Source organism: Homo sapiens, chromosome 5, assembly GCF_000001405.40.
Source record: "Homo sapiens chromosome 5, GRCh38.p14 Primary Assembly".
Lineage (NCBI taxonomy): Eukaryota > Metazoa > Chordata > Mammalia > Primates > Hominidae > Homo > Homo sapiens.
Window position 1 is genome coordinate 122,855,789 of NC_000005.10, and position 27,473 is coordinate 122,883,261.

Genomic DNA, 27,473 nt, shown 5'->3' on the forward strand with positions numbered 1-27,473 from the left:
CTTACCCATTAAAGTTTTATCATGAGGAGTCCATTGTAGGGTTATTAATTTACCTAATTTCAATATTGTTTGTCCTAAGGAATAGTGAGGCCTAAGGAGAGGGAGAGAGACAGGGAATTGCTGGTCTGTGGAACAGCCCAAACACACAACATTTGTCAGTTAAATTTGCCATCTTTTATTTATTTACTTATTTTAGGTTCGGGGGTACATGTGCAGGTTTGTTATATGGGTAAATTGCATGTTATAGGAGTTTGGCGTACAGATTATTTCATCACCCAAGTAATGGGCATAGTACCCAATAGGTAGGTTTTTGATCTTCTCCCTTCTGCCTCCCTCCACTCGCAAGTAATCCCTGGTGTCTGTTGTTCCCCTCTGTATCCATGTGCTCTTTTGTTTAGCTCCCTTATAACTCACTTACAAGTGAGAATGTACAGTATTTGGTTTTCTGTTTCTGTGTGTGTTTGTTAGGTTAATGGCCCCCAGCTCCAACCATGTTGCCACAAAGGACATGATCTTGTTTTTCTTTATGGCTGCACAGTATTCCATGGCGTATATGTACCGAGATTTCTTTATCCAGTCTACTGTTGATGGGCATTTAGGTTGACTTCATGTTTTTGCTACTGTGAATAGTGCTGTGATGAACATATATGCGTATGTGGCTTTATGGTAGAATGATTTATTTTCTTAGGGTATATAACCAATAATTGGAATGCTGGGTCAAATGGTAGTTCTGTGTCTTTTTTTTTTTTTTTTTTGAGGCAGAGTCATCCAGGCTGGAGTGCAGTGGTGCCATCTCCGCTTACTGCAACCTCTGCCTCCCAGGTTCAAACAATTCTCATGCCTTAGCCTCCCTAGTAGCTGGGATTACAGGTGCCCGCCAACATGCCTGGCTAATTTTTGCATTTTTAGTAGAGATGGGGTTTCACCATGTTTGCCAGGCTGGTTTTGAACTCCTGACCTCAAGTGATCTGCCCACCTTGGCCTCCCAAAGTGCTGGGAATACAGGCATGAGCTACTGCACCTGGTCTGTTACTTAATGGTTAAAAGCTGTAAATAGCTCAAAAGAAAAGTTTCCGTGACTCCAAAGTCTTCCATTCGGTGCTGCAGTCTATTTCCTTTGGGTCAGGGGTCTCCTCAGTATCTTTCCTTCATGGTTGACTTTTTAATAATAGCCATTCTGAAAGATGTGAGATGATATGTCATTGTTGTTTTGATTTGCATTTTTCTTTCTTTTTTTTTTGAGACGGAGTTTCGCTCTTATTGCCCAGGCTGGAGTGCAATGGCAAGATCTCAGCTCACCACAACCTCCGCCTCCCGGGTTCAAGCAATGCTCCCGCCTCAGCCTCCCAAGTAGCTGAGATTACAGGTGCACACCACCACGCCCGGCTAATTTTTGTATTTTTAGTAGAGACAGGGTTTCACCATGTTGGTCAGGCTGGTCTCCAACTCCTGACCTCAGGTGATCTGCCTGCCTCAGCCTCCCAAAGTGCTGGGATTACAGGCAGGAGCCACCGTGCCTGGCCTGAGTTTATTTTTGTGTACGGTGTAAGGAAGAGGTTCAGTTTCAATCTTCTACATATGGCTACCACTTATCCCTTCATCATTTATTTATTTATTTGTTAACTTTTTTTTTTTTAGGTTCAGAGGTACATATGCCTGTTTGTTATATAGGTAAACTCATGTCACAGTGGTTTGGTGTACAGATTATCTCATCATCCGGGTACTAAACCTAGTACCTGATAGTTACTTTTTCTGATCCTCTTTCTCCTCTTGTCCTTCACCCTCCAGTAGGCCCCAGTGTCTGTTGTTCCCCTCTATGTGTCCATGTCTTCTCATCATTTAGCGCCCACTTATAAGTGAGAACATGTGGTATTTGGTTTTCTTTTCCTGCGTTAGTTTGCTAAGGATAACGGCCTCCAGCTTCATCCATGTTCCTGCAAAGGACATTCTCTCATTCTTTTTTATGGCTGCATAATATTCCATGATGTATATGTACCACCTTTTCTTTTTTTGAGATGGATTCTTGCTCTGTCACCCAGGCTGGAGTGCAGTGGCATAATCTCGGCTCACTGCAACCTCCGCCTCCTGGGTTCAAGCGATTCTCCTGCCTCAGCCTCCTGAGTAGCTGGGATTACAGGCACGTGCCACGATGCCCGGCTAATTTTTGTATTTTTAGTAGAGACGGGGTTTCACCATGTTGGTCAGGCTGGTCTCGAACTCCTGACCTCATGATCCGCCCACCTCGGCCTCCAAAAGTGCTGGGATTACAGGACCTTTTCTTTATTTAGTCTTCCTTTGATGGATATTTAGGTTGATTCCATGTCTTTGCTATTGTGGATAGCCAGCACCATTTATTGAGTTTGCCATCTTTTTATGGGTGTAGCTTGTGGAACTCCAAAACAATTACAGTAGTAACTTGTAAGATCACTGATCACAGATCACCATAACAGATAAAATAATAATGGAAGAGTTTTTGAAATACTTGGAGAATTACAAAACTGTGACACAGAGACATAAAGTGAGCACATGCTATTGGAAAAATGCCGCCGATAGGCTTGCTCAATGCAGGATAACAACAAAACTTTAATTTGTAATAAATGCAGTATCTGCAAAGCACATTAAAGCAAAGTATAGTCAAACAAGGTAAAGCCTGTATCTGAATTGTTCTCCATTGTTTGTCTTCAATCAATAGCCTGTGTGCATGTCTTTTTGTATTTTTGTCAATGAGTCTTTAGAATAAATTTCTAGCAGTGGTTACTGGACCAAAAATTACATGCATGTTTAATGTTAGCTGATGTCGTCAAATTCCCATCCATAGGGACTGTGGTATTATGCATTACTGTAGCAGTTTATGAGTGTATATCCTCCCTCACAAGCTTGCCAACTGAGTGTTCTCAGGCTCTTGGATTTGTGCCAATCTGATAGGTGAACAATAGTATCACAATGTAATTCTTAATGTCATTCATGATTTTATGACTTATGAATGAAGTTGAACATCTTTTTATATGGTTAAAAATCATTTTCATTTCTTTCTGTGAGTAAGTTTATAAAACTGTATTTATTATTTTAAATGTCTCACTATTTCAGTAGCTGGGAATACAGGTGCCCACCACCACGCCTGGCCAATTATTGTATTTTTGGTACAGATAGGGTTTCACCATGTTGCCCAGGCTAGTCTCAAACTCTTGGACTTAAGCTATCCACCTGCCTCGGCCTCCCAAAATGCTAGAATTACAGGTGTGAGCAACCAGGACCAGCCTGACCTTGTCTGTTTTAATGCCATTGATTTCTAGGTATCATGCCTGGATATTGTAATCATTTGCCTGGATATTGTAATCATTGGCACTTGAATAAATGAATGAATGAGACCTGCTTATCTTAGTCTTTCCTTAAGAGATTTAGGGAAAGGAAAAAGTTAATGGCTCATGCCTTCAGTCTCGGGTACTCAGGAGGCCAAAGCAGACTTGAGCCCAGGAGTTGGAGACCAGACTGCACAACATATGGAGATCCTGTTCCCCCAACAAAATAAATTTGTCTGGGTGTGGTAGCTCATGCCTGTGATCCCAGCACTTTGGAAGGCCAAGGTGGGAAGATCCCTTGAGCCCAGGGATTTGAGGAGTAGCCTGGGCAACATAGTGAGAACTCACCGTACAAATAATTTAAAAAATTAGCTGGGCATAGTGGTATGTACCTATGGTCCCTACTTGAGAGGCTGAGGTGGGAGGATTGCTTGACCCCAGGAGGTTAAGGCTACAGTGAGCCATGATCAATCTACTGCACCCTAGCCTGGGTGGCAGAGCAAGACACTATCTCAAATAATAAATAATAATAATTGTCGATGAAAAGAGTTGAACTCTGTAAAATATTTGAGGATATTTATTCTGAACCAAATATGAGTGACCATGGCCCGTGACACAGCCATCAGGAAGTCTTGAGAACATGTGTCCAAGGTGGTCAGGGTGCAGCTTGGCTTTATACATTTCAGAGTGGCATGAGACATCAAATACATTTAAGAAATACATTGGTTTGTCCAGAAAGGTGAAACAACTCAAAGCCAAAAGCTTCTAGGCTATAAGTGAATTTAAATATTTTCTGGTTGACAGTTGGTTGAGTTTGCCTAAAAACCTGGGATAGATAAAAAGGGAATGTTCAGGTTAAGATAAAGATTGTAGAGACCAAAGTTCTTTTGAAGTCTAATAGTGGCTGCCCTTAGAGACAATAGGTGACAAATGTTTCCTATTCAGATCTTAGTTAATCTCTTTAGGATTGGGAGGGTCTGGAAGAAAAAGATCTTCTAGCTGTGTTAATACAGATTCTTTACAGATGCAAAGTTTTCCCCACAAAGAACAGCTTTGCAGGGCCGTCAAAACATGGCAAAGAAACGTGTTTCAGGGTAAAATATTTTGATGTTCTTCTTTCTCTCCTAATGTTATGCCAGAGTCAGGTTGGAAAGTAAATCATGATATACAGGGTTAAATAAAACCCATCTGTGGGCATGACTCCCAGACCGCTTAGATAGGAATTTGGGCAAGATAAAAAAAAATCAGAGTTTAGTCCTCATAATTAACATAAGACATAGACTGACCATTGATGTGCTTTATGTGTGTAAGTTCCCCAAAGTTCCTGGCTCATGGTCCTAGCTCATAGGCTGTGTTTGTTATTTTTGGGCCACTCTAAACATTGAAAGAAGTCTTACTCTATCTTTTATTCCATTTGTAGAATCAGATTAGCCCTGTAGGAGATGAAGGGGCACTAACAGTGAGAGGTGCATACCACATTTCTAACAATTTTTAAAGAGTGAAATAATTTTTTTATTGTTGTTGTTGAGACACAGTCTCGCTCTGTTGCCCAGGCTTGGAGTGCAGTGGCATGGTCTTAGCTCACTGCAAGCTCTGCCTCCCGGGTTCACGCCATTCTCCTGCCTCAGCCTCCCTAGTAGCTGGGACTACAGGCGCCTGCCACCATGCATGGCTAATTTTTTGTATTTTTAGTAGAGATGGGGTTTCACTGTGTTAGCCAGGATGGTCTCGATTTCCTGACCTTGTGATCCTCCTCCCTTGGCCTCCCAAAGTGCTGGGATTACAGGCATGAGCCACTGCGCCCGGCCAAGAAAATTTTTAAAAGCTGAATTATTTAATTATCTATCATAGTAGGAAAATGTCATCTCATAGTAACTGAGAATTAATTTTAGTTTCACTCAGGTGGGGTCTTTTTACCACTTCCTTTATGTTCCCAATCTAATAAATAAATGGAAGAGAAAGAAACTTGAGGCTGGGTGCAGTGGCTGACGCCTATAATCCCAGCACTTTGGGAGGCCAAGATGGGTAGATCACTTGAGGTCAGGAGTTTGAGACCAGCCTGGCGAACGTGGTGAAACCCTGTCTCTACTAAAAATACAAAAACTAGCTGGGCATGGTGGTGCGCCCCTGTAATCCCAGCTACTTGGGAGGCTGAGGCACAAGAATTGCTTGAACCTAGGAGGTGGAGTTGGCAGTGAGCCGAGATCCTGCCACTGTACTTCAGCCTGGGTGACAGAGCGAGACTTTGTCCACCACCCCTCCCAAAAAAAGAAACTTGACCCAGCCCTGCGAAGTATTACTACTTAGCTAGCACTGTAACTGAGTCTTCAAAAGGTCATTCCATCATTCTACCAAGCCAGCTGTTTCAGGATGATGGGGAATATGGTAAGCAGTGAATTTCATGAGTACGGGACCATTGCCTCACTTCATTTGCTATTTCATTTGATTTGGGAAAACTCTCAGAGGATTTTTTTTTTAACCTTCCTGGAAACTTTAGAAGGAGCAGAAAACCTTCCACAAAGCTAAAAGCCCTCTCAGATCCCATGTAATTTGCTGGTTAAATTCTGATTATTAGATTGGGTATATTTGAAACGCCCAATATGGTGTCCCTTTTCAGTTGCTTTTTTTTTTCTTTTTTGAGGAGAGTGAGTTGGTATTTGAAATATGCTAGTCCCCTCTTCTCATTGATTTTATAATTCTCATTCTAAGGAAGAGCCAGTAGGTGAATTGAATCTCACCAGCTGCCTTTTCTTAGTAGGGATTGTTTTATAAACTGTAAGCTTCTCTCTTTACACCCTCACCCTTTTCTCTATTTCTTGCTAATGGAAATTCATCTGATTATTGAGGTTACATAGACAGGTAGAGCAAAAATTCATTTTTGTGGTTACTTATTCTGTGTCCCCCATTCCCAGTGGTTGCATTGGTGTTGCGGGGCAGGGGCCGCTGACATGAAAGCTCACTCTGGAAGGCTGAGTGGAAGTTTGCCAGTTTGAGAAAGGGAGGGAAATCATTTTAGGCTCAGGGAATTGTATGGAGAAGGGTAAGAAGTGTGGATAGTTGGTAAGGAGGGACACGTACTGGGGTTGGAGCTTAAAGAATTAGGTTGAGTGGTTACAGTGGGACTGAAGATCCCCAGCTAAAAGTATGGTCTGGAAGCAGCCATGAGTAGGGAGTGGTTTTTTGTTTGGTTTTGTTAAGGGGAGAGAAACATCAGGGGTACAAGTGACAAAAGAAAAAAAAGAAAGAGGCTGGGCTCAGTGGCTGGCGCCTGTAATCCCAGCACTTTGGGAGGCCGAGGCAGGCGGATCACGAGGTCAGGAGATCGAGACCATCCTGGCTAACAAGGTGAAACCCCGTCTCTCCGAAAAAAAAGTACGTGGTGGCGGCGCCTGTAGTCCCAGCTACTGGGGAGGCTGAGGCAGGAGAATGGCGTGAACCCAGGAGGCAGAGCTTGCAGTGAGCCGAGATTGCGCCACTGCACTCCAGCCTGGGCAACAGAGCAAGACTCTGTCTCAAAAAAAAAAAAAAAAAAGAGAAAGGAAGGAAAGATAGTCAATTTCACCAGTAATTAAAGAAACCCAATGTAAAACAAGGCATGTTTTTTTTTTTTAATTCAATAGGCAAAATGGAAGAGATTGATAAAAACCAGTCCTTTTGAGGATGGAGGTGAGAGGAGACAGGTTCTCTAACACACTATTGGTGAGACTGAAAGTTGGAAGCTCTATTTTGGAGGTCAATTTGGCAGTATATATTAGATAAGATATTTATATACCCTTTGAAACAACCTTCCCACTTTTTAGTCTGTATCCATAAATTCATAAAGATATACATATAAAGTTCATTGTAGCATTGTTTACAATGTCAAGAGAAAATGAAAACAAGTCATCTACTTATTTAGCAAATATTTATCTACCTATTAAGTGGCAGGCATACTAATCTCCCTCTGGGGATACAGTAATGAACAAAACAATCAAAATTCTCTACCTTCAAGGAGCTTGCATTCTAGTTGGGGGAGAGTAAGAGTAAACATGATAATTAAATTAAATATAGTATCTTAGATAGTTGTAAGCACTATGGAGAAAAAGAAAGGAAGAGAGGTAAAGAGTGCTGGGGGATCATCAGAGAATCCTTCCCTGGGAAGGCAACATTGGAACCGGGACCTGAAGGAGGTGAGGGGGTGAGTCATGAGGTTATCCAAGGGAAATGTCTTTTAGGCAGAAGGAGCAGTATGTGCAAAGGACATGAAGTGGAAGTGTGCATAGTGTGTTTTAGGAATAGAAAGGATCCAGTGGGTTTGGAATGCAGTAGGAAAATAGAGAGTGATAAGAGATAAGGTCATATATAGTGTGGTGGGGGAAATAATGGGAGATGGAATGGTGGGGTGGGAGGGCAGAGCATAGGTCTGGTAGGCAGCAATAAGGACGTTGGCTTTTCTTTTTTCTTTTTTTTTTTTGAGGTGGGAGGAGACAAGGTCTTACTTTGTGGCCCAAGCTGGAGTGCAGTGGTGCAATCATGACTTGCTGCAGCCTTAATGCCCCAGGCTGAAGTGATCCTCCAGCAGGATCACTTGATGCTCAGGAGGCACAGCCTCCCAAGCAGCTAGGACCATGGACGCATGCTATCACACCTGGCTAATTTTTTATTTTTTGTAGAGGTGGGGTCTCACTGTGTTGCCAAGGCTGGTCTCAAAGCCCTAGGCTAAAGGGATCATCCCACCTTGGCCTCCCAAAGTTTTGGGATTACAGGCATGAGGCACCGTACCTAGCCCATGTTGGCTTTTACTTTGGGAAGTAGGAGGCAGAGGAGCGACGTGATTCAGTGGCACTGTTCCCAGCCCATGTTGGCTTTTACTTTGGGAAGTAGGAGGCAGAGGAGCGACATGATTCAGTATTTATTGATCACCAATCATGTGCCAGGAACTGTTCTAGATGCCAAGGACACAGTAGCAAAAAATGTAAATGAAAATCCCTCCCTTTGTGGAACTTACCTATTGGTTACATGAGTCATGTCTTAAAAGAATTACTCCCATTTTAGTGTGGAGAATAAACTATAAGGAAGAGTGCTGCAGTTAGGAAGCTCAGGAAGCTACTATAGTATCCCAAGTAAAAGATGATGATGGCTTAGAACAACATGTTAGTTCTGTAGAAGGAAGTGTTGGAAGATGGTTGGATTCCTGATAGCTCTTGGTGATTGAGGCCATAGGATCCACTGATGGATTAGATTTGGGGCATGAGAAAAAGTGACGAACAAGGGTGACTCCCAAGGTTTTTAGCCTGAAAAAAGGGAAGAATTGTAACCGCCCAATGGGTTCACCTTTCCTGCTGCCTAGGCTGAGCCGATTTATCAAGACAGGGGAACCGCAACAGAGAAAGAGTAATTCACAAGAGCCTGCTGTGCAGGAAACTAGAGTTTTATTATTACTCAAATCAATCTCCCCAAACATTCAGTGATGAGTTTTAAGGACAATTTAGTGGGTGGGGAGACGTCAGTGAGCCAGGAGTGCTGATTGGTCATGTCAGAGACGAAGTCATAGGGAGTCAAAGCTGTTTTCTTGCACTGAGTCAGTTCCTGGGTGGGGGCCACAAGATCAGATGAGCCAGTTTATCGATGTGGGTGGTGCCAGCTGATCTATCAAGTGCGGGGTCTGCAAAATATCTTAAGCACTGATCTTAGGAGCAGCTTAGGGAGGGCAGAATCTTGCAGCCTCCAGCTGCATGACTCCTAAACCATAATTTCTAATCTTGTGGCTAATTTCTTAGTCCTACAAAGGCAGTATAGTCCCCAGGCAAGAAGGAGGTTTGCTTTGGGAAAGGGCTGTTATCGTCTTTGTTTTAAACTATAAACTGTAGACTAAGTTCCTCCCAAGGTTAGGTCAGCCTGCACTCAGGAATGAACAAGGACAGCTTGGAGGTTGGAAGCAAGATGGAGTCAGTTAAGTTAGATCTCTTTCACTGTCTCAGCCATACTTTTGCAAAGGCAGTTTCAGAATGATGGCATTGTTTACTAAGGAGAAGACTGTGGGTAGAGCAGGTTCTGAAGTACCATTTCACAGGTGCTTAGTTTGAAATGTTTGACCAAATATCTGGGCACCCTGTGGCCCACTGAAGTTGTCACATAAAATTAAGCATGAAAAGCCTACTCCCTATCAACTTGGTATTCATACACATTTCCTTAAACCATACTTAATTAAAGAAAGGCAAAGTAAAATAAGATTTGTTTGTTTGCTTGCTTTTTATTTATTTTTATGTATTTATATTTTTTGAGACTGAATCTTGCTCTGTTGCCCAGGCTAGAGTGCAATGGCACGATCTTGGCTCACTGCAATCTCTGCCTCCCGGGTTCAAGTGATTCTCGTGCCTCAGCCTCCTGAGTAGCTGGGATTACAGGTGCACACCACCATGCCCGGCTAATTTTTGTATTTTTAGTAGAGTAGTAGAGATGAGGTTTCATCATGTTGGCCAGGCTGGTCTCGAACTTTGGACCTCAGGTGATCCACCCGCCTTGGCCTCCCAAAGTACTGGAATTACAGGCATGAGCCACCGTGCCCAGCCACTTGCTTGCTTTTTAATTCAATAGGCAAAATGGAAAAGATTGATAAAAACCAGTCATGATGAGGATGGAGGTGAGAGGAGGCAGGTTCTCTAACACACTATTGGTGAGACTGCAAGTTGGAAGTTCTAATTTGGGGATCAAATACTGTCTTTATTCTCCAAATAAAGATAATAACAATTTCATAATTCTACCTCACATGATACATCCATCCTATAACCCCAAATACACTAACTCCTTCCCTAGAAGAGAAGGTAGAATCCTTGAGTGATGTTTACTCTTCTTGATATCTGATGATTTAAATATGATGACATAAAGTTAATAATACATAAATATTATGACATAAAGTCAATACATCATATGCTACATGATAAGGGGTTAAGAGAGAAGAAAACAAAGATATTTGTTTGCTGTATATACATACATATTTTTGTAACAAAATAAGGAGGAAATACTCATGACAATTCAATCTTAATTTCTGTCACTGGTTGTGTGGTCATAGCTGGCATTGTTTATTTATGAATGAATGAATAACAAGAGTCTTGCTCTGTCACCCAGGCTGGGGTGCAGTGGCGAGATCTCAGCTCACTGCAACCACCACCTCCCAGGTTCAAGCAGTTCTCCTGCCTCAGCCTCCTGAGTAGCTGTTATTACAGGTGAGTGCCACCATGCTGGCTAATTTTTGTATTTTTAGTAGAGTTGGGGTTTCACCATATTGGCCAGGCTGGTCTGGAGCTCCTGAACTCAAGTGATCTGCTCACCTCAGCGTGCCAAAGTGCTGGGATTACAGGTGTGAGCCACCACGCCCTGCCATAACTGGTATTTATAAATACCTCTACCCATTCCATATTCCATTTGCCTTCAGCAAGCACCTCCGCCGGTTGTGTTTCTTTACCTGGTAGGTCACTCAAACCTTCATTCCTGAAGGGTCTGGGCTATTAGTAGTCCTGCCTGAATTGGGTTGCTGCAGTTTTTTTCATTGACTTTAATTACAGGGTACAGTAATATTAATACTATGCTTGAAGGGATCTGCCATATTCCAGACAGGAGATCCTTACCTCTGTTGTGGAGTAGTAGTCCAGTTTCCTTTTGGTAGGCAGGATCAGTCACCCCAGCCAGTACATAGCAGAGCAATACATGGCACAGTAACTCCCATTTTTGCCTGTTGATTTAAAGACATGAGCATAAAGTGGCTAGGCAACAGCCTTAGCTTTCATTTCATCAGAATCATTGTTGTGTCTCCTGATGGAAGCATTCCTCACTATGGAACTATGACCTCTAGGCCAGCAGAGCATAAAGTCCTGGGGACAGGAAGCAAACATTTTGCTAGTGGGTCACTGGGGGTAATGGTGAGTGGTGCTATTCCCATTTCTACCCCTTGATTCCTGGACCTATCAATCCTGGCTATGGGAGAAACAGCACTATATATTATATGTTGATTGAGAGCATATATAGCCTTGGGAAGAAACTTGACCCAGCCCTGCAAAGTATTGCAACTTAGCTAGCACTGTAACTGAGTCTTCAAAAGGCCATTCCATCATTCTACCAAGCCAGCTGTTTCAGGATGATGGGGAATATGGTAAGCCCAGTGAATTCCATGAGCATGGGACCATTGCCTCACTTCATTTGCTATGAAATCAGTTCCATGGCAGTGGATACAGTATCCTGTAAGTCCAGGGATGATAGTTCTGGCAGAAGCATTGTGTGCAGGGAAGGCAAGTCTGTATCCAGAGTAAATGTGTATTCCAGTAAGGACAAAACTCTGCCCCTTTCATGATGGAAGCAATCCATTGTAGTCAACCTGCTGTCAGGTGTCTGGCTGATCATTCCCAATATGGAATGGTGCCATATTGGGGCCTCAGTGTTGATCTCTGCTCCTGGCAGATTGGGTGCTCTGCAGTGGCTGTAGCCAGGTTGGCTTTGGTGAGTGGAAGTCCATATTTCTGAGCCTGTGCATAACCTCTATTCCTGCCACCATGGCTACTTTATGAGCCCATTTGTGTGATGACAGTGGTGACTGGGGAAAGAGGCTGACTTGTAGGCACAGAAGGAGTCATTTTATTCAAATCCTCATGATTATTAAAATCCTCCTCTGCTGAGATCACCCTTTGGTGGGCATTCACATGAGACACAAATACCTTCACAGTTTTTTGTCATTTACTGTTTAGAGAGGTCTTCCATGTAGGTATTCTTGGAAGACATGGTCTTCCAAGTCGTATTCCTTCCAAGTCCCTGACCATCCATTCAGACCATTGGCCACAGCCCCTGAATTGTTGTGTAATCACATGTCTGGCCATTTCTCCTTCCAAGGAAAGTTTACAATCAAATGTACTGCTTGAAGTTCTGTCCACAGGGAGGATTTCTCTTCACCACTTTGCTTCAAAGATATCCCAGAGAGGGACAGTGTACTGCAGCTGTGCACTTCCAGTTAATACCTGTATATCATGTAGAACCATCGTAAACCTCTGTCAGAATGATCATAGGGAACTCTCCATGGGGCCATAGGTGCAGACTGGGAGAGAGAAGGCAGTGTAGCTGGATTAGGGACTATGGCATGTGGGCTACCTCTTCCTGTAACTTACTTGTGCCTTTAGGGCCTGCTTGGGTTCATCTCATATATACTATTTCCATTTGATGATGGAGTGCTGCTGATCATGCCCAACTTTATAGCTTGATGGGTCAGATAACACACTGTTCATGATGGCCAGCTTAGGTCACATGGTAACTTGGTGGCCCATGGTTAAGCATTCAGTCACTACTAAGACCCAGTAGCAGGGTAAGCGCTGTTTCTCAAAAGTAGAGTGGTTATTCATAGAGGTAGGCAGGGCTTTGCTCCAAAATTCTAAGAACCAGCATTGCACTTAACCTATAGCAACCTGCCAGAGACTCCAAACAACATCCGTATCTGCCACGGATACTTCAGGCACCATTGGATCTGCTGGATCATATGGCCGAAGTGGCAGAGCAGTTTGCATGGCAGCTTGGACCTATTGCAGAGCCTATCCATATTCTGGGACCCACTCAAAACTAGAATCTTTTCAAGTCACTTGATAAATGGGCAGGAGTAACACACCCAAATGAGGAATATGTTGCCTCCGAGATTCAAAGAGGTCCACTCACATTATGAATCATAATGTTCTTCACTCAGCCTATAGGATTAAATCTGCGTCTCATCCAAAAACACTCTTACAGAAACACCCAGAATGTTTGACTGAATATCTGGGCACCCAATGGCTCAGTCAAGTAGACACATAAAATTAATTATTGTACCACCTTCCAAAAGTGAAACGTACTCTTCCTTCATAAACATCGTAGTGTTTTTCTTCATTTTGTTCAGATAAATATAAAATGAGAAACGTTTTTACATTTTATTATCTGATATTTATTTGCAGTTGGAAATAATAAATGCATACCTGTGGAAAGTGTGCAACCAAATTTTTAAAATGTGAATATAGTGCAGGATAAAAGTTTATAGAAAAGCTCTGTTTTCCTTGTTTATTATCGGTGAACAATTAGATCTCATTGTCAGTAGAAATTGATGACTGCAGCTTCCAAACTATTGAGCCTGAGCTAATAAATGCAACAGTTGTTCATAATTTGGTGGTAAATGACCTTTAAATGTAGCTGTTTATGGAGGCTGTCCTTGGGGAACAATTTAACTTCCAAATGACACCCATGAGTACTTGTTATCATTTAAATATGCTTCCTTTTGTCAATAACAGAATAACAAATACTGGTTAGATTTCTGACGTTGATTCAGATACCAGGAAACCTGCTGAATAAATTAGTGTACATTTGATTTATATTGACCAAAATTTTTTACATTGCTGTGTTACAGGTCAAGGTGACATGCATTTAAATGTGTTGTAGAGCAGAGGTCATGCTTGACTGACATGAATGCTTATGCTGCTTTTAATTAACTTTTAAATATTATCCTGAAATTTCTTCTTAAATACCAATGATTATGAACAGGATTGAAATTAACTTAGGATATTAGTGGTGAGCTTATTTAAAATGTCAGAAATCTTGATCTTTTTCATAAAAATTATTGGAATATATTATTGCTACGCTTTATCTCATAATTTGTATGGAAATCAAATCTGCTTTTTCCATCGTAGACTCTGAATTCATTGTCTGTGTTTTTTCCATTGATAGTTTTGCAGAAATAATCTGAGATAGCATTGAAAAAAGCAGTAATGGACTAAGTCTTACCTAGTACAGAACTACTTTATCAGGCAAATGCATTTCTTAGTGCTATGAGTTTTTTTTTTTTTACTGATGTTGTTTGTACATGGTTGGAGGATTGTTTGCAGGGTGATGCCATGGATTAACTTTGTCAGCCATTCATTAGTAGTACAAAGTAGTATAACTTTTAGGGAAACTTTAATCAACACCTGATTTGCCCTTTTGGAGAATGTCTTCACCCTGAATGCTGCTTCTTTTGGATTTAAATATTGTTGAGTAAAAAGCATTTTGCTTGTAGTATAGAATGTTTTTCATCTAGGCCTCATGTGAGAATTTTCATATAATTCAGAACTTTAGAATGGAGATGTACAAAGCTTTTTAGTCTCTATCAACCTAAAGATCTTTGTTGTTATTCAAAATGTGTGCCTTGGAAATTTAGGATAATCTTTTGAGCTTTGCATCCCGAGGAGCTGTAAGTAATCAAAAAGCAGCAGGAAGCTCCGCTGCTTCAAAACTTTGTATGATGAACTTCTACAGATGTAAACAGAGCTGCTCTCCAGAACAGAAAGACCTCAACCCTGCCCACATCTAGTGAATAGCAGTGGGCCTGAGATGTCAGCTTAGTTTCAGCCAATGACCCTTAGTTTCAGTGTTGTTCCTTAGCCTGCAGCTTTGTACCTAAGTTTAGTGTATTCAGAACAGCATATTGTCCATGGCTGCAAAAGTAGTGACAGTTAAAAATGCTAATAAGAGAGAAACGGAAGTGGAGATAATAAAATGGAAAGTGGTGGAAGAATGACAAACGCGTGTGCATGTGGAATGAATCATCCAATCATAGGAATGATTCTTTAGGACAGAGGGGAGACTCATGCAGCATTTCTTGTAAGCGGGCATGCACGTGTGCAGGGAGTTGGGGGAAGTGCCTGAGACATGGAAAAACTTCAGGTGTTAGCACCACTTCAGGTGCCTGACCCTAAGGGAGAAGGCAGGGAGTTTGAGAAAAAGGCTGTTGATGTGGTGGTGCTGCTGGTGGATGGCACATTGGAACACCAGCAAAGGAGGGTTTGGGCTTCTGGTGCACGTCGTTGTCTGCTAAAACCATGGTGCTCATCCCTTGCTGCACACTAGCATCACCTGGAGAGCTTTACAAACTACTGATGCCTGGGGCCCACCCTCAGAGAATCTGATGGTCTTGGGGTATGGATTGAGCATCAGAATTTTCTAAAGGTCCCTGGGTGATTGTTATGAACAGTGGAAGGTGAGAACTACTGCACTGAAGATGTCTCCAGGATGCTTTTGGAGTTTATTAAGGTAGATTACTTGCCCCAGCACATATTATTAATAAGTTAGTTCAGTAGTTCTCAGGGAACACTTAAAAACACAAATTTTCAAGTTTTGTCCCCAGAGATTCTCATGCAATAGGGGCTCAGGCTCTGGTACTGTTTAAAAACTCTCCAGGTGATTTTAATTTGTAGCTAAGCCTGCAGATTGTAGGGTAGATAGCTTCCCTGTTGTGGAAAAGATGCCCTGTAGAGTGTATATTTAGCATAAAGGAGAAGCATCAGCTTTGTTTTAAAGCTTTAAAGGGCTGGTTCACATTCTGATTCCGCAAAAGTGCATCTAGGAGTGGCTTATAAACAAATGAACTTAAGAAAAGCTTTTCTGGCTGGGCGCGGTGGCTCACGCCTGTAATCCCAACACTTTGGGAGGCGGAGGTGGGTGGATCACTTGAGGTCAGGAGTTCGAGACCAGCCTGGCTAACATGGTGAAACCCCCGTCTCTACTAAAAATACAAAAAATTAGCCGGGTGTGGTGACATGCGCCTGTAATCCCAGCTACTCGGGAGGCTGAGGCAGGAGAATCACTTGAACGTGGGAGGCGGAGGTTGCAGTGAGCGGAGATCACGCCATTGCACTCCAGCTTGGGTGACAAAAGTGAAACTCTGTCTCAAAAAACAAACAAACAAAAAAAGCTTTTCTGACCTCATCCTGCTCGAGGAAGTTCTAAGGAGTGTCATTGTTAAGTTTTGGAGCCAGATAGACTTGATTCCACATTCTGGCATCGTGACTAGTCAGGGAACTTGTGCAAGTCATTTAACTTCCCTGAGCTGCATTCCTTAAAATAATTATTCCCTTTTCTCGTAAGGATCTTCTGTAAGGATTTCTTGTAAGGATCATCATACCAGGCACAAAGAACTCACAATGTGGAGCAGCTATTGTTATTTCTGATACTTCTAAAGACATTTTTGCTAGTTGGAGTTAATACATCATCATATATTTTACCTTCCTTTCATCTAGTATGAGAATTTTTCTTTTTTTCTCACTTTTGAATGATTGCATATTTAATTCACTGCTTTAAGTTTTTATAAAAGCAGTATATCAAAAGATCCCTGCAGCGCTTTTAAATTGGAGAATAACATCTCTAGTGTCCCAGCCACTTCATATTTAAGAACAAATGAATAATGGTGATTCTTTGGTTAAACCAATTATTAACAGCTATTTATTGATCACAGAATATTCCAACTACCTTTCTGTGCTGTAGGCTCCTAGTGGTATTCTCTGGGAAAACCTTGTATTGTTTTCCTACTTTCTCCGTTTATAAAAAGTTCTTTTTAGGATAGGCCAAAGAACCAATCCTGAATTTGTAAGTACGGCCATCCCTCAGTATCCGTGGGGGATTGGTTCCAGGACTCCACGATGATATGAAAATCTGTGAATGCTCAGGTCCCTGATATAAAATGGCCTAGTATTTGCATATAAACTATGCACATTCTCCTGTGTACTTTAAATCATCTCTGGACTACTTAAATACCTAATACAATGTAAATGCTATGTAAAGGGTTGTTATATATTATTTGGGGAATAATGAACAAAAGAAAGTCTGTATACATTCAGTTTTTTTTCCCTTTTGTTTTCTATTCACAGTCGGTTGAATCTGTGGATGCAGAACCCACAGATACTGAGGGCCGACTGTATCACAGTATACAGCTCTAGCTGGCGGTGGAATGGGGCCAGTTCCCACCGAGACCCATTCACTGTTCAGTGCTTTGCTCTAAGCAGAAGTAGAATTTTGACTCCTATCAGTGTTCGTTCAGGTTCAGATGAGGCCAGTTTTAATGAACATCATTTTAACCCAGAGGTTAGTTTTTTGGTTTTTGGTTTTTGAGACAGGGTTTTGTTCTGTCACCCTGGCTGGGGTGCAGTGGTGCGATCATAGCTCACTGCAACCTCGACCTTCCAGGCTTAATAGGTCCACCTGCCTCAGTCTCCTGAGCAGCTGGGACTAAAGGCACCACACCACCATGCCTGGCTAATTTTATTTTTTGTATTTTTTTCTAGAGACGGGGTTTTGCCATGTTGACCTGGGTGGTCTCAAACTCCCGGGCTTGAGTAATCTGCCTACCTCAGCCTACCAAAGTGCTGGGATTTCCGGCATGAGACCATACCCAGTCCAGAGTTTTGTTTTTGAAGCTGTTTTTGCAGTCAGGGTTTGCTTCTTCTGTGAGTTCTGGGTCTAGAAAAATTCTATGAAGCTGATCTTTCTGTGGCCTAGATAATTCTAAATGCCTGCGTGGGGAGGCAGGCAGTCTGTTTAATTGGAAATTTAGCTCAGAGTTTATGTGATTTGCTGTGAGCATGTTTGCATGCTGGGTCCTTGGTAGGGCCTGAAGAGAGGGCTGGCAGGGACAGTCAGGCAGAAGTGCCAGGCAGGAGCTGTAAGAGGTGGCAGTAGATGAGGGCTGGGTGAAGGCACAGAGGTGTGGAGTGTGAGGCACAATTTCATCAGCTCCAATATTTACTTAGATTCATTTATTTAACGAATGGTTTTTGAAGGCCTGAATTTTACCAGGCACTGTACTGAGCCCTGGAGGTGCCATCACTTTCGGTAGTTTTCTTTTGAAGAAATGCCAGCACTCTCTTTCATCTTTCAAAGGGAATCTTTTTTTTTTTTTTTTTTTTTTGAGATGGAGTTTCACTCTTGTCACCCAGGCTGGAGTGCAATGGCGCAATCTCGGCTTACTGCAACTTCCACCTCCCAAGTTCAAGCGATTCTCCTGCCTCAGCCTCCTGAGTAGCTGGGGTTACAGGCACCGGCCACCACGTCTGGCTAATTTTTTTGTGTATTTTTAGTAGAGATGGGATTTCACCATGTTGTCCAGCCTGGTCTTGAACTCCTGACCTCATGTGATCCACCCGCCCTGGCCTCCCACAATGCTGGGATTATTGGCGTGAGCCACCATACCCAGCCAGGATTCTTTTTATTTGTGAACACAGTGTACAGTGGAGCAGTAGTTAAATCAGCTCATCCTGTATTGCTCCATGGAGATATTACTATATAAATACAGTTACGTTAGCAAGATTAAATATGAACAAATTATTAGCCTCAGTTTCCTTATCTTAAAAAAGGGTTACAATTAGTATGCAACCCCAAAGAGTCATTGCCAAGATTAAATGAAATAATGCATGTGAAATGCCTACCTCAGATTACGTTTAGCTAAGTGAGGATCAGCTGATGTTACTGGGCCTGCTTTCACAACCTTGGGTTGGTCCCTGCCCAGAAGGACAGATACTGATACAATCAAGAAAGCTGTGTGAAAGATAGGAAAGCAGCTGGGTGAGATATCCTGGCAGAGGGGACTCTAAGCATGCTTCCTTGTTGTCTAACATATTGGCTAACCAAGGTGGGAGCATTAAATAGGTGGGATTGTTCAAGTAGGAACATTGATGTGTATCCCTTGAGTGCTGATCGATGTGCGGCATATTTTACTTGTTCTGGTACTGAGCTACACAGCATTAGGGCCAGCTGTTATGAATCAGAAAGAAGCTAGGGTTATGTTTATTCTGCAACTTGACCTTTTTAGAAGGAGGTTCTTGAGCTTTTTGGGAGGAAGGAAGTAGCAGTGTAGTTGAAGAGTGAACTCTGGAGTTGAGGAAACCTGGACAGGCCCCTGGCCCTACCACGGGCTAACCATGTGTTGAATGGTAACCAGTTGCATAAATGCTCTGAGTCTTGGCTTCCTTCAATGGAGATAATGGTAACTGCTTCATAACCAATAGGAATTGTTTTAATCAAATGAAATAATAGATGCCAAGCCCTTAACACATAATTGGTTCAGTAGTAGCTAGTGTTGATATTTGTTTCTCAAAATTAAAATTGTTATTTTGAATTTCTATAAAGAGGTGCTTGAGTTAGGCTTATATGGGATATGATTTATGATCTGAATACAGTTCATACCATAAGCCCCTCTCCTGTTCTTATACCACTAAAGCAAACAAAAACAAAACTAATGCTTTCAAGTAAACATTTGATAGAAATTTCAGTATGGCAAAGGGATTTTGGGTTTATAGAGGTGAATTAGAATTTGACCTAAGTTATTTTATCCATGAACTGTTCAGAATTATTTCTTATATGTGCCCAGTAGAGACACTGTATTAAAACTGATTAATGATATAATTTCAACAAATGGAAAATATGATGCCATAAAAAAAGATTACCCAGAATTCCACAGAACTCAGATATTAAGATTTCATGTTTATGGGGAAAATGTGTGTGTCTATGGATAGCCCATACAAATACACACTTTTAAAGAAATCTTCCTTTAATATTTTACCATAATTTGCTTGGGGCTTATGCAGTCTAGGAGTGCAGCAGAACAGAAGTAAGCCAGACTTGGGTTCTCACCTTAACTTGCCTCCACATGCTTCAGTGTACTCCTTTGTACGGGGGAGTGGTATCATCAGACATTTTCAGGAGAAACATGTAATGGAGATAATAAATGAAAAGTTCCTAGCACAGTGCAAGGCACGTATCAAGTTGGTGCAAAAGTAAAGCCATTACTTTCAGTGGCAGAAACCACAATTACTTTTGTACCAACCTAATACTAACAAATAGTTGTTACCATCCTAGGTCTGAAAAGCAGGAGGAGAATGGTAGTCCTCTTTATGGCAAGCAAAACATGAGGAACACTTATTTATTTATTTTTTTGAGACACAGTCTTGCTCTTAGCGCCCAGGCTGGAGTGCAATGGTGCAGTCTTGGCTCACTGCAACCTCTGCTCTCAGGTTCAAGCGATTCTCTTGCCTCAGCCGCCCAAGTGGCCTTATTAGCCCTGCATGGTGGCGGGCGCCTATAATTCCAGCAACTGTAGCTACAGCTGGGATTACAGGTGTCCGCCACCACGTCTGGCTAATTTTTGTATTTTTAGTAGAGACGGGGTTTTGCCATGTTGGCCAGGCTGGTCTCAAACTCCTGACCTCAAGTGATCCACCTGCCTTGGCCTCCCAAAGTGCTAGGATTACAGGCATGAGTCACAGCGCCTGGCCCCATTGCTTTTCTTCAAGTGATTTTCTTAGATGAATATGGGTAGGCAGTAGGTTTTTGAGCTGGCCACAGTACTGACATTTTGAAAGTGTATATATTTTACAATTTTTTAGATTTGGAAGGGTTTTTAAAAGCAGCCTTTGCCTAGAGATGTATTCATTTTCATTGGCCATTAATGTCAGCGTATAAAAATGAAAAATATTAGTTTTTGAAGGCATCATATTTTGAACTGATTAATTGCTTAATTAATATATTGGTAATGCTGTAAGATAGTTCATTTTAAGGAATAGTTTCATTAAAAATAGCTGGAGATATTAAAAAGTGCCATTTAACCTCTTGTGATCTTACTCTCAACAAAGTTTCAACATTGAAGCAAAGCGTTTATGTTTATGTTATAAAGTAGCATAATTAATATAACCCAGTAAGTGAAGTGTTTTGAGTGTCTGCTTTGTGCTTACTACAGGCCATTGACAACTATCAAGTATGATTCTATACCTCAAGGAGTTTTTAGTTTAGCTCTGCACAAAATCACACAATACTTGTTGATCTATAATGAATGCCCTATGGTAATAGCTTGTTTTGAATGGAGATTTTGAAAATGAGATCAATGAGGAGTGGAGTGCAGTACCCGGAAGACCTCCTGCAAGAGATGGTGCTTAAGCTGCATTTTGAAGACTAGGTAGGATTTAAATAAGTGTGTGGAAAGGACAGGGCTTTGTCAAGGAACGCACCCTCAGTAAAGTTAGAAAGATAAAATGAACATTATATCATGGACGATAGAAAGGGAGCAGTGTCCTGTGTGCAGGAGGTCAGTGGTGGTTAGAGAGTGGAAATATTTTGGATACATGGGGCAGAGCCACATTGAGGAGGTCCCTGAGGAGGACTACCTTTGTTCTTTGTCCTCCTGGAGGGTGGGCATCTGCCATTGTTGAAGCTGTCAAAGTTAACCCTTAGACTTTTGATGGGCACTGGGGAGAGGAGGGCACATTCTGGTAGGGAGAATGTATGAGTTGCTTTCAGGGGAGGGGTGGAGATGAGAGAATGCCCTGTCACTGACATTACTCAAGCAGTGTCAGTGGGGCTGCCAAGGGTATTTCTCCGATCTGCATTAGGTGGGGATAGGGCCAGAAACTCTGAAACTCAATAACTGTGTGAAGAAAACAAGGCTGTACAGAAGTTTCTGAACAGCAAAGTGATATGAAAATGAGGAAACCAGGCTGATTGAACTTACCTTGGTATGCAGAATGTTTCCAAAGAGGTTAATTGAAATCAGGTATGGGACTATGGCTGTGGTCCAGGATGAAGGTGTGGACTGGGACAGTGGCATGGGATGGACATGAGAGATTCTGAAAAGAATATCTGGGCTTTAGAAAACTGTAGTTGGTAGCTGAAATAAAAAGATAAATAAAAAATAAAATTTAGTATCCTCTCTCTCATCTCTGCCTCACTCTCTACTCAGCACCTCTGAACCAACCCACCCACTCCCCAGCTTCAGGAGGACCGGGGTGCCCATGCTCTGTGTCTCATGATCTTCTGCCTACAGGAAGCCTATCCCATCCCCTACCCGAAGTTGGTTAACTTGTGTTTTTTCTTTCCAAGCTAGTTCTAGTTTCACTTCCTTCTGGTAGCCAATGGTGAGAGTTTTGATTCTGCCTGAGTTTGCTCCTTTCTCCATTGGTGGAGTCTTCAAGCCAATAGGCCAATGAATGATGATTCCTCACTGGACTCCTCTCTTGGTGGTCCTGCTCCTATGGACAGGAGCCCTCAGGCCATGCTTTGAAAGATGGCCACTACACATGCCGGATGTCCACTCTGTTCAGATGATGCTTGAGACTCAACCTGAATCTGGCTTTTCCTGGACTGGCAAGGTGTTGAGGGAGCAAGTTGTTGAGGAATCCACACAAGGGAATGATGGCTGACCTGGGAGGGTCCAGTACAGCTGCAGTGAGCCACATCTGCCTTGAGTGAAATTATTCCTAGATAATGAGAGAACCTCCTTTTTGGGACCCGGGGTGGGAAAATGGAGTGGGAAGGTTGGTGCCACTTCCTTGTTTTGTTCACAGAAGTGGTAAGATTCTTTCCTCCCTTCCAAGTGTCTGGTTGGTGCTCAGCTCAATGGAGGCCTGTTGTGTGGTTCTGGAGACCCAGTGGCGGTTCTAGAGAGGGCAGAGAGGTCAGGAGAATGAGGTGGAGAAGGGGCCAGTGGGAAATGGAAGTCAGATTACAGCGGATTAAGAAAGCTGGGAGAGAGTGAGGACCCTGCCAGATGCTTTGACTATGAAAAGAGGGAGAGAAGTCATAAGAGCAAGAAGGAAAAGCAGGGTCAGGTCAAGGCTTTTTGTAAATCAGACCAAAGACAGTGAGTACTTCAAGGTCAAGGAATGGAGTCAATAGCATAAAAATCTGAGAGTTTTGAAGGGAGAAGAGTGGAAGTGGAGGTGGGAATGAAGCTTCCCAGGAGGTGAACTGCTGTTCTTGGAGTTGTTTTCCCTGTCAGGAAAAACATCAAGGGATGAATTTAGAGCAGTCCCGTAGAAATATAATGCTCACCGTTTGTGGTGGCTTACGCCTGTAATCCCAAATGCTTTGGAAACCAAGGTGGGAGGATTACTTGAGGCCAGCAGTTTGAGACCAGCCTGGGCAACATAAGCAAGACCCCATCTCTACAAAATAAGAATAAAAAATTAGCCGAGTGTGGTGGTACACAGCTGTAATCCCCACTACTCAAGAGGCTGAGGAAGGAAGATCGTTTGAGCCCAGGAGGTCAAGGCTGCAATGAACTGTGATCCAGACAGAGCAAGACTCTGTCTCAAAAAAAAAAAAAATTAAAAATTAAAAAAAAGAAATATAATGCAAGCCACAAATGTGAGCTACAAAGAGATTTAAAAATTTTTAGTGGCCCTATTAAAAAAGTGAAATGAATTGTAATAATATATTTGATTTAATGCAATAAATCCAAAGTATTATTCTAACATGTAATCTGTGTAAACATTATTAATGAGACCACTTGTTATTTTTGTAGTAATTTTTTGAAACTTGGTGTTTTTATACTTACAGGGTATCTCCATTTGGACCAGCCATGTTTCAAATGCTTGACAGCAGCATGTGGCGAGTGCTATGCTATGTTGGACAAGGCAGATTTAGAGAATAGGAAGGGGTCCAACTTTCAGCAAAACATGTAGTGAGGCAAGAATAAAGGTATCCTGTTTCAGGAGCTGAAATCGCAAACTTTAGCCCCTGTCGAGAATACAGTCTCACTATTTTTTGTCTACACTGTCAACATGAGTTCTCTCCAGGCTCTTGGTTTCAGCTCAGTTGAGGAATATTGTTCTTGTGGTTGCCCTGTCCTTAAGTAAATGGAACTGTGGAATTAAGAGGCAGTATTGAAGGGGCCTGAATCAAACTCTTCAGACTCAGTTTCCCTCTCTACCACTTACAAGCTGTGAGACATTGAGTGAGTTACTTAACCTCTCTGTGCCTCAGTTTCCTTATCTCTGAAATGAGGATGTAATAACAAATTTAATCAATTTTTGTATGTATGTATGTATGTATGTATTTAATAGAGACAGGGTCTCACTATGTTGTCCAGGCTGGTCTTAAACTCCTGGGCTCAAGTGATCGTCCTGCCTTGGCCTCCCAAAGTGCTGAGATTACAGGCATGAAGCCACCAAGCTCAGCCAGTAATAACAAATTTTAATTAAATGACATTTTATAGCTATGTTATAGGGTTGTTGCAAAAACTGAATGTAGATGACTTAGAACAATACTTGACCCACAGTTAAGGCTTAACAAGTAAGTTAAATTTTAAAAGAAAATGTTTAGGGTACTTTGAGTCAGTGTTAATTACCATTGTAGATTTTTTCAAAAAAATGTTTAAGGACCAGGACTCGTTTATGGAATGTTGAAGTCTGAGTTTAAGCAGAAAACTGCTTCCTCCAACCTTCTGTTTACTTTGAAGAAATACCACACATAAAGTTTCACATTTACCAAATTAAAATATGTGAAGCAGTGATCAATATATTATCCTTAGGAGCTGCCTTAGAATGGGAGATATACTCTTTAAAATATTTCATAAATGGAATAGCCAAATTGAATCTGAGATACTGGTGTTTCGGAGACGTGTGCCAGTGACATAAGGCAGCTTTGTCTAATTGCATCCCACATTTGAAAAACTTTTTCATTAAGATTATCCGAATGAAGAGGTGGTTAGAATGGGGCTGAGGGTGGAGGAGAGGAGGCCAAGGAAGCAGAAACCTTGTAAAAGCTACTGCCCACATGCCCTTTATCTGTTAGTCAATGCCCCATTTTTCAAATGAGCTTTTACAATAACCAGATAGCTGGATCACATCACTAAGTGAGGATGCATGAACCTGCCTGCCTGCTTATGTCCAGCTCAACCCTTCTAACTGAGTGCAAAGTTGATTGTTGCCTATAAAAGTGGAAAATGGACCTGATAAAAATGTTTAGTCTGCAAGGCTTCATTTTATTTATCATATCAGAAAAGAACAATGTTTTGTGTTGTGGTCAAAATAGAAGCCGACCTTGCTTGTTCACAAAAGCTCAAATCCTAGAGATAAAGGGGGCAAAATAATAGAGTACAATAGAAGGAGTAGGGTGTAATTATTTGTAGCTTGTCAAGTGAAGCCCTTTCAAGCCCCAGGTGATTCAAATCTGGGAACTCTGCACAATTCTGTAAACTAACCACAACCAGCATCAGAGAAATCTCCCCTGGCCCACAGACAGCACCGAAATTGCATCCGTTTGTCATGCACTGAGCATGCCAGCCTCACACAATATCATTTGGTTGCAAATGGGCCTGCCCCCAAAGCCCTGAAACACATTCTGTGGTATCTGACTCTTGGCCTGCGATTTGTCATGTCCCTGCTGCTATCAGTGTGCAGTAATTTTAATAGATTCTGATGGTTTCCTTGTAGAAACTCAGGATGCAGCTGGTTTGGACATGGGACACAGGAGAGACTCTTCTGGCCAAAGACAGCAGGAGTGTGTGCAGAAAAATTGGAGAATCATTTAATTTCATTAAAAATTTGTTATAGGATATATGGAGTTATGTTTTATGATTTTTTTTAAAAAACATTTCACAGTTTAATATATGGAAATATGTTGTTCATTTTATCTTTAAAATAGTTGCCTTTTTAGAGATATATTACTGACAGTATACTTACTCAACTTTCAGAAGTGACAGCTGTATGAATGAAGTTAGTCTAATATAATGGTTTATTTGGTCCCTTACTGTTCAAAATGTGGTATGGATCAGCAGCATTGGTGAGAGTGTGTTAGAAATGCAGATTGTCAGGCCCTATCCCAGACCTGCAAAATCGGACCAGGGGATTCATACGCACATTTAAGTTTGAGAAGCTCAGGATCTCAGGCTTAGAGCACAGGCTTTAGAGTCAGAGAGATCTGTGTTGATATTCTGTCTTTCTGACTTAGCGTGCTTGACTCTGGGCAGTTTGATCAATTCTGCTAAGCTTCAGATTCCTCATCTACTGAGTAGGGATTATAATTACATCATATGGTTATTGTGAGGATTGAATAAAATTATATATACATAAAATTATATAATTAGGTATACATATATATTAAATAAATATGTATATATAAAATTATGATAAATATAAGTATCTTTATCTATACTTCTATCTGTATACATAGAACCTGACATAGAAAAAACATATAGTAAATTAAAGATGTCATATAGTGTTGGTTCCATGGACTTTGCCTTAAAAGCATTAACATTTGTCTAATTGTGAAACAATTCACCTGCAGATAATTTCTGTGGTACAAGGATTATGAATTTTGTTTGTTGGATTTTTTTTTTTTTTTTGAGACAAGGTCCCACTCTGTCACTCAGGCTGGACTGCAGCAATGTGACAAACTCCTGGGCTCAAGTGATCCTCTCACCTTGACCTCTGGAGTAGCTAGGAATATAGGTGCTTGCCACCATGCCCAACTAATTTTTAAGTTTTTTATAGAGACAGAGTCTGACTCTGTTGCCCAGGCTGGTCTCCGACTCCTTGCCTCAAGAGATTCTCCCACCCCAGCCTCCCAAAATGCTGGTATTATAGGCATGAGCCACCACACACACTGAATTTTGAATTTTATAGATGAACTTTAGCCAACTGTGGCTGAATTTAGCATTAGGATGCCTCTACTCCTTCCCACATACCTTGTTAGCCTTTTTTCCTACAGCGTCTTTCTGTTGTGATTTAGAGTATATGGTAGAGCCATAGACAGTGCTGGCTACTTGGAGAGTTGTGTAAAATGTACCACCCCCTAACTCTTGGAGATTGGACTTGGTCGCATCTCAGTGTCAGCCAGATTCTGGATAGAGAGCCCTCTAGGCCTTCCGGCCTTGGCACAGCACAGAGCTCCTGCCCTCATCTCTTTGTTCTGTGTTCTGGACCCACTGTGAATGCTTGGGGCTCTCTGTGTCTTGAAACATCCTGATTGTCACAGGTGGGGACACAGTCATTTTTTCCTAGTATGGACCTATGGGAAAAAATATAGAGATAAAAATTAAGGGCCAGATATAAAATAATTTTTTCCCTTGAAAAACACTGTTTTTTCCTCCTTTCCTTTTTTTAATCTTACAATTAATCTCTCAATCTCTGTCTGTAAATGTCAATTTTTCAGCTCACTGGCTTTTAAATTATGAATAATAACATAAAAATTTAGTTAATTAGGTCACCCAAGTATATGATTTATTTTCATATCAGACCAGTTAAGGACATGGGGGTGGGAGCATATATAGGGAAAAATGGGAGTAGGAGAGGAATTGGAGAAAGCTGGGCAGGGAGACAGAATGGCTTGAGTGGAGGAATGGGTGGAGCAGATCAAGGGAAAGAGCCACAGAGAAAGCAAAAGTAGAAACAGAGCAAGGTACTGCAGTGAGCCAGTGGATGAATCAGCGTGGCTAGGGAGATTTGTTCAGAATCATTTAACTAGCTATTGTCAGTGGTTTAGAAGGAGATAACTGTTCTTTAACACGGGTTTCTAATCTTGAAATTACACGCAGAATCTTATAGTATGTGTGTGCATGTTTCCACAGAGGCCTTCAGATTTTCAGATCTGTGACTCCAAGAAAGGTTGAGAATCACT

General features: G+C 41.7%; 1 protein-coding gene across 10 annotated transcripts in view, besides 3 other annotated features; it reads left to right on the top strand.

The window, feature by feature from the left end:
• Positions 1-27,473, top strand: part of SNX24 (sorting nexin 24) — a 183,706-nt gene that overhangs the window by 10,176 nt on the left and 146,057 nt on the right. The gene's annotated exons all lie outside the window — the stretch shown is intronic.
• Positions 3,807-4,776: an enhancer, noted in NCBI's record as "OCT4-NANOG hESC enhancer chr5:122195290-122196259 (GRCh37/hg19 assembly coordinates)". NCBI's record gives its function as "activates a minimal SCP1, AML or CMV promoter by ChIP-STARR-seq in naive H9 embryonic stem cells {active_cell/tissue: H9 hESC(naive)}" and the evidence as "EXISTENCE:reporter gene assay evidence [ECO:0000049][PMID:30033119]".
• Positions 4,956-5,170: a silencer, noted in NCBI's record as "fragment chr5:122196439-122196653 (GRCh37/hg19 assembly coordinates)". NCBI's record gives its function as "represses an EF-1alpha promoter that drives an FKBP-Casp9 reporter gene in an ReSE screen in K562 erythroleukemia cells {active_cell/tissue: K562}" and the evidence as "EXISTENCE:reporter gene assay evidence [ECO:0000049][PMID:32094911]".
• Positions 7,586-7,880: a silencer, noted in NCBI's record as "tiled region #12893; K562 Repressive DNase matched - State 8:EnhW". NCBI's record gives its function as "represses a minimal TATA promoter and a strong SV40 promoter by Sharpr-MPRA in K562 cells {active_cell/tissue: K562}" and the evidence as "EXISTENCE:reporter gene assay evidence [ECO:0000049][PMID:27701403]".